Raw genomic sequence first — 13,643 nt, forward strand, 5'->3', positions numbered from 1 at the left:
ATCATGGCATCCAATTCATATTCAACTATCATTATAATTTATTTACAGTTTTTCAATTTGATCTCAACCTGAGTCAGCTGTCCTTCTTTTGTTTATTAAGCTATTCATTCATTTGATAAACATTTATTGAATCTAATATATGTCAGGTACTATGTTGGACACCAAGGACACCACACTGAACAAAACAGGATCCCTGACCTTAAAACTTAGTCTGGTAGAGTTCAAGTAACCAAGCAATTATGGTATAATAAGAGAAATGTATCATCATAATAAGTTTATTTAATAGATTAAAAATCCATCTTTTATCACATATACATGCTGATGGAATATAAAATGGTATAGCCACTCTAGAAAATAGTTTGGCAGTTTCTTAAAAAACTAAATATGCACTTACCATATGACTCAGCAAATGTACTCTTGGGCATTTATCCCAGAAAAATGAAAACTTATGTTCACATAAAACCTGCAAATGAATGTTCATAGCAGTAGCTTTATTCATAATAGCCAAAAACTGGAGACAATTGAAATGCCCTTCAATGGGTGAATGGTTAAACAAACTGTGGTACATCGATATGCCTTGGAATATTATCTGAAAAGGGAAGGAACTATTGATACACGTGATAACTTGGATAGATCTCAAGGGAATTATACTGAATGAGGAAAAAAGCCAATCTAAAAGGTTACGTACTATATGATTCAATTTATATAGCATTCTTGAAATTATAGAGATGGGAGATTAGTGGTTGCCAGAAATAGGGATGTGGTGAAGAGGAAGATCAGTATGATTCTAAAGGAGTAGCTTATGGGAGCCTCATGGTGATAGCTCTGTATTTTATTGTGGTGGTGATACAAGATATGATAATGTTGCATATAAACACACACACACACACACACACACACACACACAAACATGCATGAATGTACATAAAACTGGTGAAACCTGGCTGGATGCGGTGGCTCACGCCTGTAATCCCAGCACTTTGGGAGGCCGAGGCAGGTGGATCGCCTGAGGTCAGGAGTTCGAGACCAGCCTGGCCAACATGGTGAAATCCCGTCTCTACTAAAAATATAAAAACTAGCCGGGTGTGGTGGTGGGCGCCTGTAATCGCAGCTACTCGGGAAGCTAAGGCAGGAGAATTGCTCAAACCCAGGAGATGGCGGTTGCAGTGAGCTAACACGGTGCCACTGCGCTCCAGCCTCGGCAACAGAGTGAGACTCTGTCTCAAGAAAAAAAACTGGTGAGATCTGAATAAGCTCTCAAGATTGTACCAATGTCAATTTCCTAGTTTTGATATTGTAATGTAATTTTGTAAGACATTAATCATGGGGAGAAAACTAGGAGGAAACACAGGACTTCCCTGTACATTTTTTACAACTATTTATTAATCTGTAATTATTTCCCTTGAAAAAAACCCCTATTAGCATAATCACTGTAAATTTCTTTTACCCAGTAATACAAACCACCACCACATAATGTCACTTTTTTAGGGATTCATTTCAAAATTTTAAATTATATTTTAGCACCAATGTTGTAGCAGCTTATTTGAATATGTTTTTCAGAAAGTGTAAAAACTATGTAATGAATTCTCAAGCTACTGAACAGACTATTCGTAGAAGAAATAAGACAACAGGAAATTATTCAAAAGCAGATATTTTTAAATTAGCTGTGAATAAAAGAAAAGGAAAAATTTATTGGGCTAACTCTAAATAATCAGCCATAAGTATGACATGATGACAGCTATGCGGACAACAATCCATGTCTATATACAGCAATATTTCTTTCTCAGTACACTCTGGTAGACGCCACAAAGACGCCACAAAAAGGTGATTTCTAACTCCTCTTCAGATTTATAACAAGCCAAATGAAACACTGAACATAGGTCTATCCACAAAAGGACACTTACATTTTTCTCAAAACTCAAGATATTATCATAATTAACCAGTAGACAAATGACCCCAGTTTGTGAAAATGAGCCACTGCCTTAAATACTATTAAATAATAAACTCTCTTCTGCCTCTTTAGTTGCAGGATGGCTACTCGTATCCCTCCACACATGATCATCAGTATTTGCCTCCTGTGTCCCAACCGGCCTGAGTCAAGTAAGTGTATGAAAAGAGGTGTTTCTCTCTGCGCTAGAGAAAGAAGGATAGGTTCACTAAAGAGTGAATTTTCTTGGTGCTAGTAGCCTAAGCTCATCACTTAATGCATAAAACTCCTCTCCCACAGCTTTTGAGAGACCTTCCAAAGACATTTCAATATTTTCAATAGCTCCAAGGTCATTACTTAACCAGTTTTGAAACTACACTCAAAACTTACAAATTTTGTTAAAGAGTAAGCAACTCCCAAATTCTCCTAAGTGACTTCATCCTGTTATTTATACATCACATATGTACATATACATTCCTATAATCAAGTAATTCTAAATTTGGGACAAAATATCATACACAATAATCATTGTCTTTTTTTTTTTTTTTTTTTTTGAGATGAAGTCCGGCTCCGTCGCCCAGGCTGGAGTGCATAAGCGCGATCTGAGCGCAGCGCAACCTCTCCCTCTCGGGTTCAAGTGATTCTCCTGCCTCAGCCTCCCAAGTAGGTGGGATACAGGCATGTGCCACCATACCCAGCTAAGTTTTGTATTTTTAGTAGAGACAGAGTTTCATCGTGTTGGCCAGGCTTGTCTCAAACTCCTGACCTCAAGTGATCCACCCTCCTCGGCCTCCCAAAGTGCTGGGATTACAGGTGTGAAAATAGGCCAGGCGCAGGGGCTCATGTCTGTAGTCCCAGCACTTTGGCAGACTGAGGCAGATGGATTGCTTGAGCCTAGGAGTTTGGGACCAGCCTGGGCAACATGGCGAAACTCCATCTCTACAAAAAATACAAAAATTAGCCGGGTGTGGTGGTACATGACTGTAGTCCCAGCTACTTGGGAGGCTGAGGTGGGAAGATCAATGGAGCTGGGAGTTGGAGGTTGCACTCTAGCCTGGGTGACCTAATGAGACCCTGTCTGGAAGAAAAAAAAAAAAAAACAGAAAAGAAAATACAGTAGAGCTCTAGATCAACCAGAGACTCAGGAGCCTTTCATTTGGGCAATGTTACAGCAATATTTGCCAATATTTTTAGAATTCTAGTTTCATGAGACATTACTAGTGTTGTATTCAAAAACAGAAATACTAATCATGCTTCTTCATTACAAGAATTGTCTTTAGATAGATAGGTAAGAAAAATACCGAACACATTTGCAGGATTGCCACTGTTTGGCAATGTTTCTCTAAGCCCGCCTACCTTAGCCCTCTAGAAAATCACTTGGGAGAAATCCTGTTGCCTGAACCCAGAGATCCAGCTGCCTCCCACAGGCTCAGCGAAACAAACAAATGGCGGAGTGAAGTGATCCCTCTCTTCTTCCTTTAAGAGAGGAAGGGATCTCTGCTTCTCTTATCTACTCCAAAGTCTCATCATACAAAGGTTGTTTATTCCTGCAAAAGTTAAATGACAAATCCACCTAAATTATCCTCCAATGGCCCATACCCTTCAACAGAGAAAGGCCAGTTTTCATATTTAAAGGTGGCCCTCACAGCCATAAAATCAGTGTGGTATTATATTTTTTCATTAATTCAGCATTTACCAAGTAACTTCCGCAGCCAAGAACAGTGAAAAGTGTTAGGGATACCATTTTTAAAAACTTTATCATAATAAAGTATATTATTCTAGTAATACCTTTGATTGATGGCCACATTCTAGACTTTAAGAACCACTTGGGATTATCTCCTTTAATTCCTATATCCACCCTATAAAGTTGGTACTGTTACCATTCTTTATGGATAAAGCATATCCTTTACGGATAAAGCAACTGAGGTTAAGTAGTTTACCCAAGGTCAGCACGTGGTGGAGCTGTAGTCTGAAGCCAGAGCCTGAATTCTTAAAGATTACCATGTTCTTAAGAAGTACACTTTCTACTGAGGTTTGATCTGTAGTATACTAAGATTTCCCAAATTATTTCATGTATTATATCTTATCTCCCAATTAAAATTTGACCTTCTATTTAGGGCAGCACTGTTCAAAAGGATTTTCTGCAATAATGAAAATGTTCTAGTTTGTGCTATCCAAAAGCACAGTCTAGCCATAATTTAAATTTAAACGGCTACAAGTAGCTAAGGCATACAGTACTGGACAACACATGCAAGGAAGAGTTTCATTTCTTCCGATTTATCTATAAAGCCAAGGCTTAGGTAAATCAGTTAATGGAAAGGAACAAGTGAAGAATCTTTAGGAGGAGTTTGTACTCCCTTAGCTGGGGAGCAGAAATCTTTATTATATCAGGACTTTCAGTATAATAAAAATGTTATAAGAAGCATATGATACAGCATGCAGTCCTAGAGGAGTTCATAAAGATGGATTCTTACATTCCTTGCAATATCTTTGGAAGACCTTTTTTTTTTTTTTGAGATGGAGTTTCGCTCTGTCACCAGGCTGGAGTGCAGTGGTGCAATCTCCGCTCGCTGCAACCTCTGCATCCCGGTTTCTAGTGAATCTCCTGCCTCAGCCTCCCAAGTAGCTGGGACTACAGGACCCACCACACCCAGCTAATTTTTTTTTTTTTTTTTGTATTTTTAGTAGAGATGCGGTTTCACCATGTTGGCCAGGATGGTCTCGATCTCTTGACCTCGTGATCCGCCCGCCTCGGCCTCCCAAAGTGCTGGGATTACAAGCGTGAGCCACTGCGCCTGGCCAGAAGACTGACGTTTTATAATTGATGGTCACAACTTTAAAAATTCATACTCAGTTATAGGTTTTTGTCTAATAAAAACATCACTGCTTAATTTATTTACAAAACATGGAGTCCATAGAGAGAAAAACAACAGGGGCCTCTTGATAGTAAAAGGATGAGAAACAGGGAAAACTTGTAAGTCAATGGACACTTCCTTCAGAAACTACATTCAAAACTTAAAAATTTTGTTAAAGAGTAAGCAACTGCCAAATTCTCCTAAGTGACTTCAACGTGTTACTTATACATCAGATATGTACATACATATTCCTATAATCAAGTAATTCTAAGTTTGGGAAAATATCATAAATAATAATAGTTATCTTTTGAAAATAAAGTGGGGCTCTAGATCAACCAGTGTCAGGAAGCAGCCAAGTCACACCCCACTGGGTGCTTCCTGGACAAGCGCAGTGCAGCTCCCACAGGGCCTCACACCCAACCTTCAATTTGCTTAAAAGAACTATCTCAAAAAATCTTAGCTATTTAGTCACAATTTGTCCTTGCCAGGGAACATGTTTTTCTTTTGCCTGATTTTCAATAACCTTAGATTGCAAAATCATAAAAGCACTCATCAAAGAACTGTGAGAGCAGCTCAGCTTCCCTGGAGATCTCAAACCATGTTCCTTTGATACAATGCAATCAGCTCTTTATACTTTAGGAACCTAATTTTCCCTTACTAAATGCTAAACAATTTACAAATAACACAATGGCTACAGAAAAAAAAAATCCAACATCTTTACATTCAAATCCCAAAGATATAAACCTGACGTCTAAATTAATACGTGCTTAGTGCAAAACTGGGCAATTATTCCACATTTGCAAGACAGTATAACATGACCACCTGCTGCTGAAATGCCAAAGCCACCACTGTTAACGCTTTGCTCCGCCTTCCAGAGAGGTTATTACAGCTTAAGCTGCGTCAACAACCCAGAGGAGGCTGCTATCTAGTTTATCTGTGTGGAAGGCCTGTAACACACTGTTAACAGAGTAGTTGCAGGCCCTTCCTTGGGATATTTTTCTGCGTATAAGAGTGAATGAACTCCACGGCCAGATCCTCCTAGTCATGTTGCAGTGCTGGTCATGGGACCGCAGAGGGAACAGCACCCAACTGGGGATGGGGAGCTCACAGGCACAGGCCCCGCAGCTGATGCAAACCTTCCCCCTCCAAGGTTCTCTCGAGTCTCTGCCAAGAGTCGGCTGGAGGGCCCAACTGCTATGTTCTTATTGCTGTAATGACTGCAATTTGGCAGCATCCAGGATGGTGTACCGGGAACGGGAGGGGGAAGGAGATGGTGGGCCCCTCTGTTAAACGCAACGCCAGAAGGGACACAGGATGAATTTATTGTGGCCATCGGTCCTGAGCTGGAAGGAAAGTCAAAGGGCTTTAAAGCTGGGGAAAAGCTCTAACTCCTGCTCTGCTGTCAAAGCCTTACTTCCCACGAAGAGTAGGGGCCAGGCGGGCCAACTGTAAGGGGGAAGCGGCCCGGGGTGAGGTAAGAGGACCCTCCTAGGTGCCGCTGCCAGGCGGCGGTTCGCTGGGGCAGCAAGGCGCCCGCACTCGGGAGGCGCCACAAAGGGCCGAGGCCTGCGGAGGCCGCACGCGCAGCTCTCCGGGGCGGAGCCGCCGGGATCGCGGCAGCGGAGGCTGCAGCAGCCGCGGGTAGCCGGGGTGCCCAGCCTCCCAGCTCGGAGGTCGCGGGGGGCGGGGAGGATGCCGCAACTGCAGTCCGAGCGGCAGAGCCCGGCGCGAGCTCCCAGGCCCCCGCAACCGCTGTGAGGCGCAGCGCGCGCCACTGGCCGGGAGGAGCTAGAGGCGGGCGTCTGCACAGCGTCGCGCCACCCGTGACTGCCCGCCTTCAGCCGGGCCCGGGACCCCGTAGCGGCCCATGCCCTGACGGGGGGCGCAGCTGCGGGGCTGGCGAGGCGTCGCGCGTGGGAAGAGGCCTAAGACACCCCGACTGCGGCGGCTGCGCACACCCGATCCGGACGCGGGGCCCCGCGGGCGCGCGCCTCGGAGCTCCCGCCTCCTCCTCTTGCTCCTCCTCGGCGTACGGTCCTCCCCTGACCCCTCCTTCCACCCGCCGAGAGGATGCGCTCCCCGGCGCCCAGCAGCAGAGGCCACCGCTCCCAGAAATGCATGCGACCGATCCCCTTCTCCCGGACCCCAGGAGCCGGCGCCCCCGCCCTGTAGGTAGGTGGTGAGGCGGGGCCCAGCCCTCGCCGCCGCCCGCCGCTGATGCTGCCGCCGAGAGGCCGCGAGCAGGGTCCAGGACCGGCCAAACTTGCCTCCCGCCGGGGGCTCGGTGGAGCGCTCGGAGGTGTGCTAATGGCGCTGGGCGTAGCCCCCTGTGAACCTGAAAACCTCTGCTTGAGCTCGGGAGGCCGAGCGGGGGCGAAGGAGAGATTGACCCTTCCCCGCCCACCCCTTGGGGGGCTCGTGGGGGTGCGCGCCAGTACGAGAGTGGGGAGGACAGGTTGGCATGGGGCTTATTTGGGGAGAAGACCGTTGGATTTTCAGCAGCTCAGGTGGAAATATGTCACTGTGTTTTTCCGGCTGGATTAGCAGATGCGTTCTTCCCATCTTTCTAGCCAAAACATGTAGACAGGCAAAGGGTTATTAGTGGCATGTAGAAGTCGCTGTGGATTTTTGTGTATTTCAGAGCTAGCTAGTTGGTATATAAAATCGATGGGGCAAACCCTTACCGTCAACACGTTAGGGCCAATTTAGAGAAGGTCCTTCTAGAAGTCAGATTATTCTGGAGATCGATGAGGCTGGGATATTGTTGTGCTGAGTATTTAGGAGCCTCTGCTTACGTGAAGGGATGTGTTTTAAGAGTGGCAACTTTGATACAGGTGTCGGGAGTTGAGATTCTGCTGGAAAGATGTACCGGGTCAGCCAGCAGAGGCAGCCTTGTGCCCAGCCTAACTTCCAACTCGATGTTATGCTCTGTATTTCTCAGAAACTGGTTATGTATTAATGCTTTTTTTCTCCTCTAGGTGTAAAGTTTATACATCAGAGCTTTTGGCAAGATTCCCTCTTCCCAGACTATCATTTTTTATTTTATATTCAGCAATAAGGCTTAAAGTTTTGAAAAATGCATCACTGTAAGCTCCAATTTTATAGTCACTTAGGTATAGAGATTTGGAGAAGTGACTCAGTATAAGCTCAAATAGGACAGAATCTTGAATCTGTTTTTTTTTAAATCCTGTAATCTTCTGCATCTTATGCAGAATAAGTACCCATTAGTTATTTGTTGAATGAATGAACTGTGTTTCAAGCTTTCATCTAAAAACCACAATTTAGAATCACAGAATTGTTCTGTAGCCGGTGAAATTTAATTGAATTTCAAAAATTGCCTCTTTGTATAAATAGGCAAACTCAGTTATTTTAACATTTATATTTCAATTCTGACATCTTTAGGACCATATGCTATCTTTCTGTAATATGTCATCAAGGTTATGAGGTAATTCTCCCCAACTCTTAAGTTCATTTCATGTCTAAGCTTGCAAAATTTCCAGTCTCACTGGTAATCATGCCAACTTCAACTGTGCTCTCAAACACAATTTAAAAAGTAAAAGTCGTGTTTTAAAGAAAATTGTAAGTTACGCCAGAGGAAACAATGATTTGGTTAATAAGTGATGTATTCACTTATTTTAGAGTTGAGTTTTTCAGGTTTGATCTAATTATCATGTCTTTTATCACAGGCAAAAGTAGAAATAAAACATGTAGAAGTGTCTGTGATTCTTAAATGATTCAAAATGTGTGATATAGATACACAATTTAAACTGTTTTCTCCTCGGTATAGAAACACATCAGTTTCCAAATTTGACAGCCAGGGGATTGTGAAATGAGGGTTTGCAAGATACAGTGTCTTCCTGCTTTAAAATGTTATATCATTTTGAAAAAAAAAAAGAAAAACAAGGTTAACTGCATCAAACTTTATTTGCTTTATTTTTACACTATGACATTTTCTGTTTTGATTTCATCTTTTTTCCATCACATGAATTTCATGAGTCAGTGTGAACTTCTTTCAGTCTCTGCTTAACAATATTATCTGGGCATGCTCCCAGGTTTTCTTTCTGACATTTTAATGCATCTTTACCATCTTCACTTCATATTACTCAAATGACTTATTTTTACACAATATGGTAGGCCATACTTTATTACTATTGCTTCTCCAACCTACTTATTTTCTTCCTAGATGGATAAGGAAATAAAACTTTCCTATAAAAGTTAATAAGACTGCAGGAACCAACAGTGGGAGGGAACTTATGAAAAAAATTAATTTGTTATGATTTATTAAAACAAAGCCAAAATTCCCTCCTGTAATAAAGATAATTACATTTTACACTTCTTAAATTTGTAACCCAGGGTATTGAGCAATTAATTTACCTGGCTCTTCCTTGCACACTTTAAGCTTTTCAAAAAAGCCCTCCCCTTTGGTTACAGTAAGCTCTCTTTACCTTGTTACTTATAAGCACTTATTTGTTCATTTTACAAGTAGGAGTTGAGCCTTTAACTGCTCAGTTTAACTGCTATTACTTTGGCTTTGGAATCACAGTCAAATAAAAGCTCTAATCTCAGATTTGAAGAGGTATTTTTCTCTTCTGTGTGTCCTACAACCAAATGCGCAGTGCCTCTGGGATTGGTTGACTCACTTTTGGGTCCTACCTCCTGATCCCCCAGCACTCCGCCCCCACAAGCACCACCAGAATGCAATCCAAGACCTGGATTTCCTCTCTTTATCTTCCTAAAGGCTGTATTTTAGAAACCTCTATTCCTTTCTTGCTAAATGCCATTTACTATTGTTTTTAAAATCCCAGCCCATAATTTTTTGTTTGTTTAAATTCAACAGGATCCACTCAATTCACTTGTGCTAAAATCAGAATTGTTGATTGCAGAAAAAAATATACAGAAGTAAATTTGTATGACCTTGAATTTCAGATATAGTGAATACATAAAGAGTGATTGTTGTCTACTGGTCTCCCCTCAACAGTGATACAAAATGCATTTGTTTCTGTACATGCCAGAGAATATGAATTTTCTGTTGCTAAATTTGATCAGAAGCTTAATTGAGAGAAATGATGTTTACGGGGGGTTGGCTGAACAAAGGCCATGACGTCAACCTATTCCCTTCCAATACTAGCTGTTAGACCAGAAGTCTAGCCAGATCTTCAGAAGCTGTACTTTGGTACCTTGTTTTGCATCCTTAACACCCCCCCATATGCCCACACTGAGGGATTTTATTAATACAGTCAGAGGAAACTTACTATTATGTTACTTTCGAAATGTGGTTATGATCATGGTACTTTCTATAGTTTCTGTTTGAAGACTCATGCAAGAAATTCCATTTAACTTTAAATGCCAAAGAAAAGCTTTACTTACCCTGAACAACTTGTGTGTGTGTGTTTGTGTGTGTTCTTTTCATCATGCAAAATGAGAATCAAATCATTGATTATATTTCCCTTTCTAACTTGGCAACTAGGAAATGAACAAATTTGCAACTCAATTTTAATAATCATATAAAAATTCATAACCTAATATCAATATTTTATCTTTTCCTATGGTCTTGAGCTTCTGTTCTACCTTGTTTTTCTTGATTCTGATGTTTATCTAATTATACTTTTCCATTTGATTGAATTATATTCTTTTAAGATGACTCATATCCTTTGTGGAACAAGGCAGATTATAAAACATAAAACCAAATAAATGAAGCCATTGCACAATTGATCTCTGGACACAGTATGTTTTTGATGAACAAGTTTAATGGGTTACATTAAATGTTTTGAACAAGAATTGCAAATTTAGTACATTTGAACTTAGCCAAATGGAAAACAATGTTACATAGTTTTACAAAACTTTTTTTTAAACTCTTACATTTATATTCACTCATTACTAATTTGAAATTAATAAAGCCATTCAATTTAAGTCAATTATATTTGGAGTACCTGCCTTAAACGCTATATAGGTTGAACAGGAGTTTCAATAGAATAAAGTCATTTTTAGCTGAAGGGCTAGCCTAACTTAGCATAACACTCACCAGAGTGAATCGACAATCTGACCTTCGCGTCAGTGATTCATGTGATTTATCCTTGTTTTAATAAATCAGAGTCTTCTCTGAGCCTCTTTTATTTACCATGAAATTTAAAAGATTGAGCTCCTGGAGTTAATTCTTCATACTGATGTTTTGACACCTAATTGTTAAGTTGGTTGAATTTACCCAGGTAACTCATTATTTACATCGACATGATAAGTTAGGCTTGATATATTTATCACCACAGTAAGCAGAAAGATTGGCCTTTCTCAAGGGTCAGTCATTGGTACAGTCTGGTAGCCTTTGGCATAAAAATGATCTGAATTCAAAAGTGCAACTTAAAACATAAGAGGGGGTTTGGAGGGGGACCTAGGCAGGTTTTTACATAGAGGCATCTCATTCTGATAACCTTCATGTCTTTTTTTAAATTTATTTTTAGAATAGGTAGTATCCTCATGGTTCAAAAGGTACGCATGGCTCTAGAGTGAAAGTACTCCCTCTCATCCTCATTCCCCTGTCACCCATTTCACTAATCCACAGGTAACCAGTGTTAGTTAACTGAGAATCTTCTAGTGACATTTTATGCATATGCAAGCAAATATGAACATGGAAGCTGCTCATTTTCTCTCCTAACCTGTCTCTGATTCACTCTGTTCTATTCCCACTGCCTCTGTTTGGCTCCTTAGATGCCTTGGAGTGTTGTCTGCATTCTGCCTTGCTCTGCATTTCAAGCTGTCCCCATTTCAGCAGGCTGTCCTTCTAAACTTCCCCCTTCAGACCCTGTAAAACATTTCCATCATACACAGGAAGGAATCTGCACATCTTACCCTGGTCTCTTGGACCCTGAGAGATTCATCTCCTGTCTGTATCCCTCCTTGTCATGCATTTTACCCACAGTCATTCTTAGCTAAGTCCCCTTGACCCATTTCATAGACCCATAAAAAACCTGATGAAAGTTCAAGTTGTCATCATGCACAGCAAATACCATTTGCCAACATATCCTTGTTTGTGGACCCCCAAGTTAAACATTTGTGTTTTAGTAATACAAAACTAATTGCCAGTTTCTGCACGTGGATAGAGTATGATTTTTCTTCTCCATGCTGTTCCCTCTGCTTGGAACATGCTGTCCAATTTTCATGAGCAAGCCACTCTCATTTCTGGTGTCATCTCTAGGGGCCTTTCTTCCTTGAGATTCTGTAAACTCATGGAGCCTTCTGCATGAAACTTAGTGTCCCAAGTAGGCTTCCATACTAGGAGTAATTTTCTATATTAGCTATGTTATAGCTAATAGCTATATTTTGCTACTAGCAAAATTGACGTTCTGGTAAAAAATTAACCATGATTTTGGATAGCATGTAAGATTGATAAAAAAAAATTAGGGTTGAAGATTTTATTTAATCATTCATCCTTCTTCTCTCCCCACCCCCCACCCACCTCAATATAAATCAGTAGTCCCTCAGTATCGTGCAGGGGATTGGTTCCAGGTAGTGGGTTCCAGGACCCCTGCAGATACCAAAATCTAAGGATGCTCAGGTTTCTGATATCCAATGGTATAGTATTTGGATATAATCTATGCACATCCTCCTGTATATTTGAACTCATCTCTATATGACTTAAAATACCCCAATTCAATGTAAATACTAAGTAGATAGTTGTTATAGTACACTGTTTGGGGAATAATGACAAGGAAAAAAGTCTGTACATGTTCAGTACACAACCATCCAACCATTCATTTTTTTCCTCAATTTTTTTTTTTTTTTTGAGACAGATTCCCACTCTGTCGCCCAGGCTGGAGTGCAGTGATGTAATCTCGGCTCACTGCAACCTCCACTTCCCAGGTTCAAGTGATTCTCCTGCCTCAGCCTCCAGAGTAGCTGGGATTACAGGTATGTGCCACCAAGCCTGGCTAATTTTTGTATTTTTAGTAGAGACAGGATTTCACCATGTTGTCCTGACTGGTCTCGAACTCCTGACCTCAAGTGATGCACTTGGTTGGTTGATTCCATGGATGCAGAACCCATGGATATGGAGGGCCACCTGTGCATGTCCAGATCAACTTTTTAAAGCAGCCCTTGCTTACTTTACTAATTCTCAAACATTGTGTTAACACCCATTAAAAATAGCTTTGGTATTTATTATGACACTCATCTGGGAGAGTGTCTTTTATTCCTCCCACTCTAGTTTTCTTCTGTAGTTGGTACATAAAGGGACGAAAGCCTCCAAATAGGGTGTCACTGGAGTTTGGGGATTAGCCAGGCAAAAAGGGTACTCTTAAGACATTGAAAGGATTGAACATTGACCCTGATAGATGACATGAGCCATTTGGAGAGAGTGGTCCAATCTAAGAAGTGACTCCTAAGTAGGTGAATGAAATACTTTTAATTCCAACCCAAGTAATCAGAGGCCTTAAGTGCTTGGTTTTTATTGCAAAGTACCTGGCATGAGGTAATTTGCTTTTGATAGCTGATTAACAGAGGATTTAGAAAATAAGAGTTTAATAGTGTTTGTTCAACACTGTTCATGTGGAATTTCTGACTAGTGGGTTATTCTTATCACTAACCAGGTATGCCTTATAGAATAGAAATAATTTGTGAGATGAATCCAAAGGTCTGAGATCCCTTAAGAGCTTTCATGTTTCTTCTGTGATTCTGGCCTCGCTACACAAACATTGAATTTATTGACTTGTTTCCCCAGGCATGCTGATATCATGAAGTGAGAGTGCTCTGAGTAGCAGTGATAAATATTCTAGCCATTGGATAAGTGTCACCCCTGCAGTATGGGATAAATCTCAATTTCAGGCTATTCATGGGTCTGCTGGGAAGGTCTGCTCAGTTCTGTGGTTGCA

General features: G+C 41.2%; 1 protein-coding gene across 16 annotated transcripts in view, besides 6 other annotated features; it reads left to right on the forward strand.

The window, feature by feature from the left end:
• The window catches only part of NCOA7 (nuclear receptor coactivator 7), a 150,920-nt gene that overhangs the window by 2,999 nt on the left and 134,278 nt on the right, over window positions 1-13,643 (forward strand). For 4 of the 16 annotated variants that reach the window (XR_007059204.1, NM_181782.5, NM_001122842.3 and 1 more), the window contains exon 1: window positions 6,847-6,954. The exons of 2 other annotated variants lie outside the window; for them this stretch is intronic. The gene's annotated coding sequence lies outside the window, so the exon portion shown is untranslated. Of the gene's footprint in view, window positions 1-2,023; window positions 2,101-4,612; window positions 6,257-6,846; window positions 7,082-12,566; window positions 12,685-13,643 lie in introns of those variants that run through there. 10 more of the 16 variants (XM_047418206.1, XM_047418207.1, NM_001199620.2 and 7 more) reach the window with 5 other exon arrangements.
• Window positions 5,580-5,679: a silencer, noted in NCBI's record as "silent region_17521". NCBI's record gives its function as "represses an Ori minimal core promoter by ATAC-STARR-seq in GM12878 lymphoblastoid cells {active_cell/tissue: GM12878}" and the evidence as "EXISTENCE:reporter gene assay evidence [ECO:0000049][PMID:35858748]".
• Window positions 6,133-6,633: an enhancer, noted in NCBI's record as "H3K27ac hESC enhancer chr6:126111392-126111892 (GRCh37/hg19 assembly coordinates)". NCBI's record gives its function as "activates a minimal SCP1, AML or CMV promoter by ChIP-STARR-seq in primed H9 embryonic stem cells {active_cell/tissue: H9 hESC(primed)}" and the evidence as "EXISTENCE:reporter gene assay evidence [ECO:0000049][PMID:30033119]".
• Window positions 6,133-7,134: a biological region, named in NCBI's record as "H3K27ac hESC enhancers GRCh37_chr6:126111392-126111892 and GRCh37_chr6:126111893-126112393".
• Window positions 6,270-7,109: a silencer, noted in NCBI's record as "silent region_17522". NCBI's record gives its function as "represses an Ori minimal core promoter by ATAC-STARR-seq in GM12878 lymphoblastoid cells {active_cell/tissue: GM12878}" and the evidence as "EXISTENCE:reporter gene assay evidence [ECO:0000049][PMID:35858748]".
• Window positions 6,634-7,134: an enhancer, noted in NCBI's record as "H3K27ac hESC enhancer chr6:126111893-126112393 (GRCh37/hg19 assembly coordinates)". NCBI's record gives its function as "activates a minimal SCP1, AML or CMV promoter by ChIP-STARR-seq in primed H9 embryonic stem cells {active_cell/tissue: H9 hESC(primed)}" and the evidence as "EXISTENCE:reporter gene assay evidence [ECO:0000049][PMID:30033119]".
• Window positions 7,330-7,429: an enhancer, noted in NCBI's record as "active region_25031". NCBI's record gives its function as "activates an Ori minimal core promoter by ATAC-STARR-seq in GM12878 lymphoblastoid cells {active_cell/tissue: GM12878}" and the evidence as "EXISTENCE:reporter gene assay evidence [ECO:0000049][PMID:35858748]".

Source organism: Homo sapiens, chromosome 6 (genome assembly GCF_000001405.40).
Source record: "Homo sapiens chromosome 6, GRCh38.p14 Primary Assembly".
NCBI lineage: Eukaryota > Metazoa > Chordata > Mammalia > Primates > Hominidae > Homo > Homo sapiens.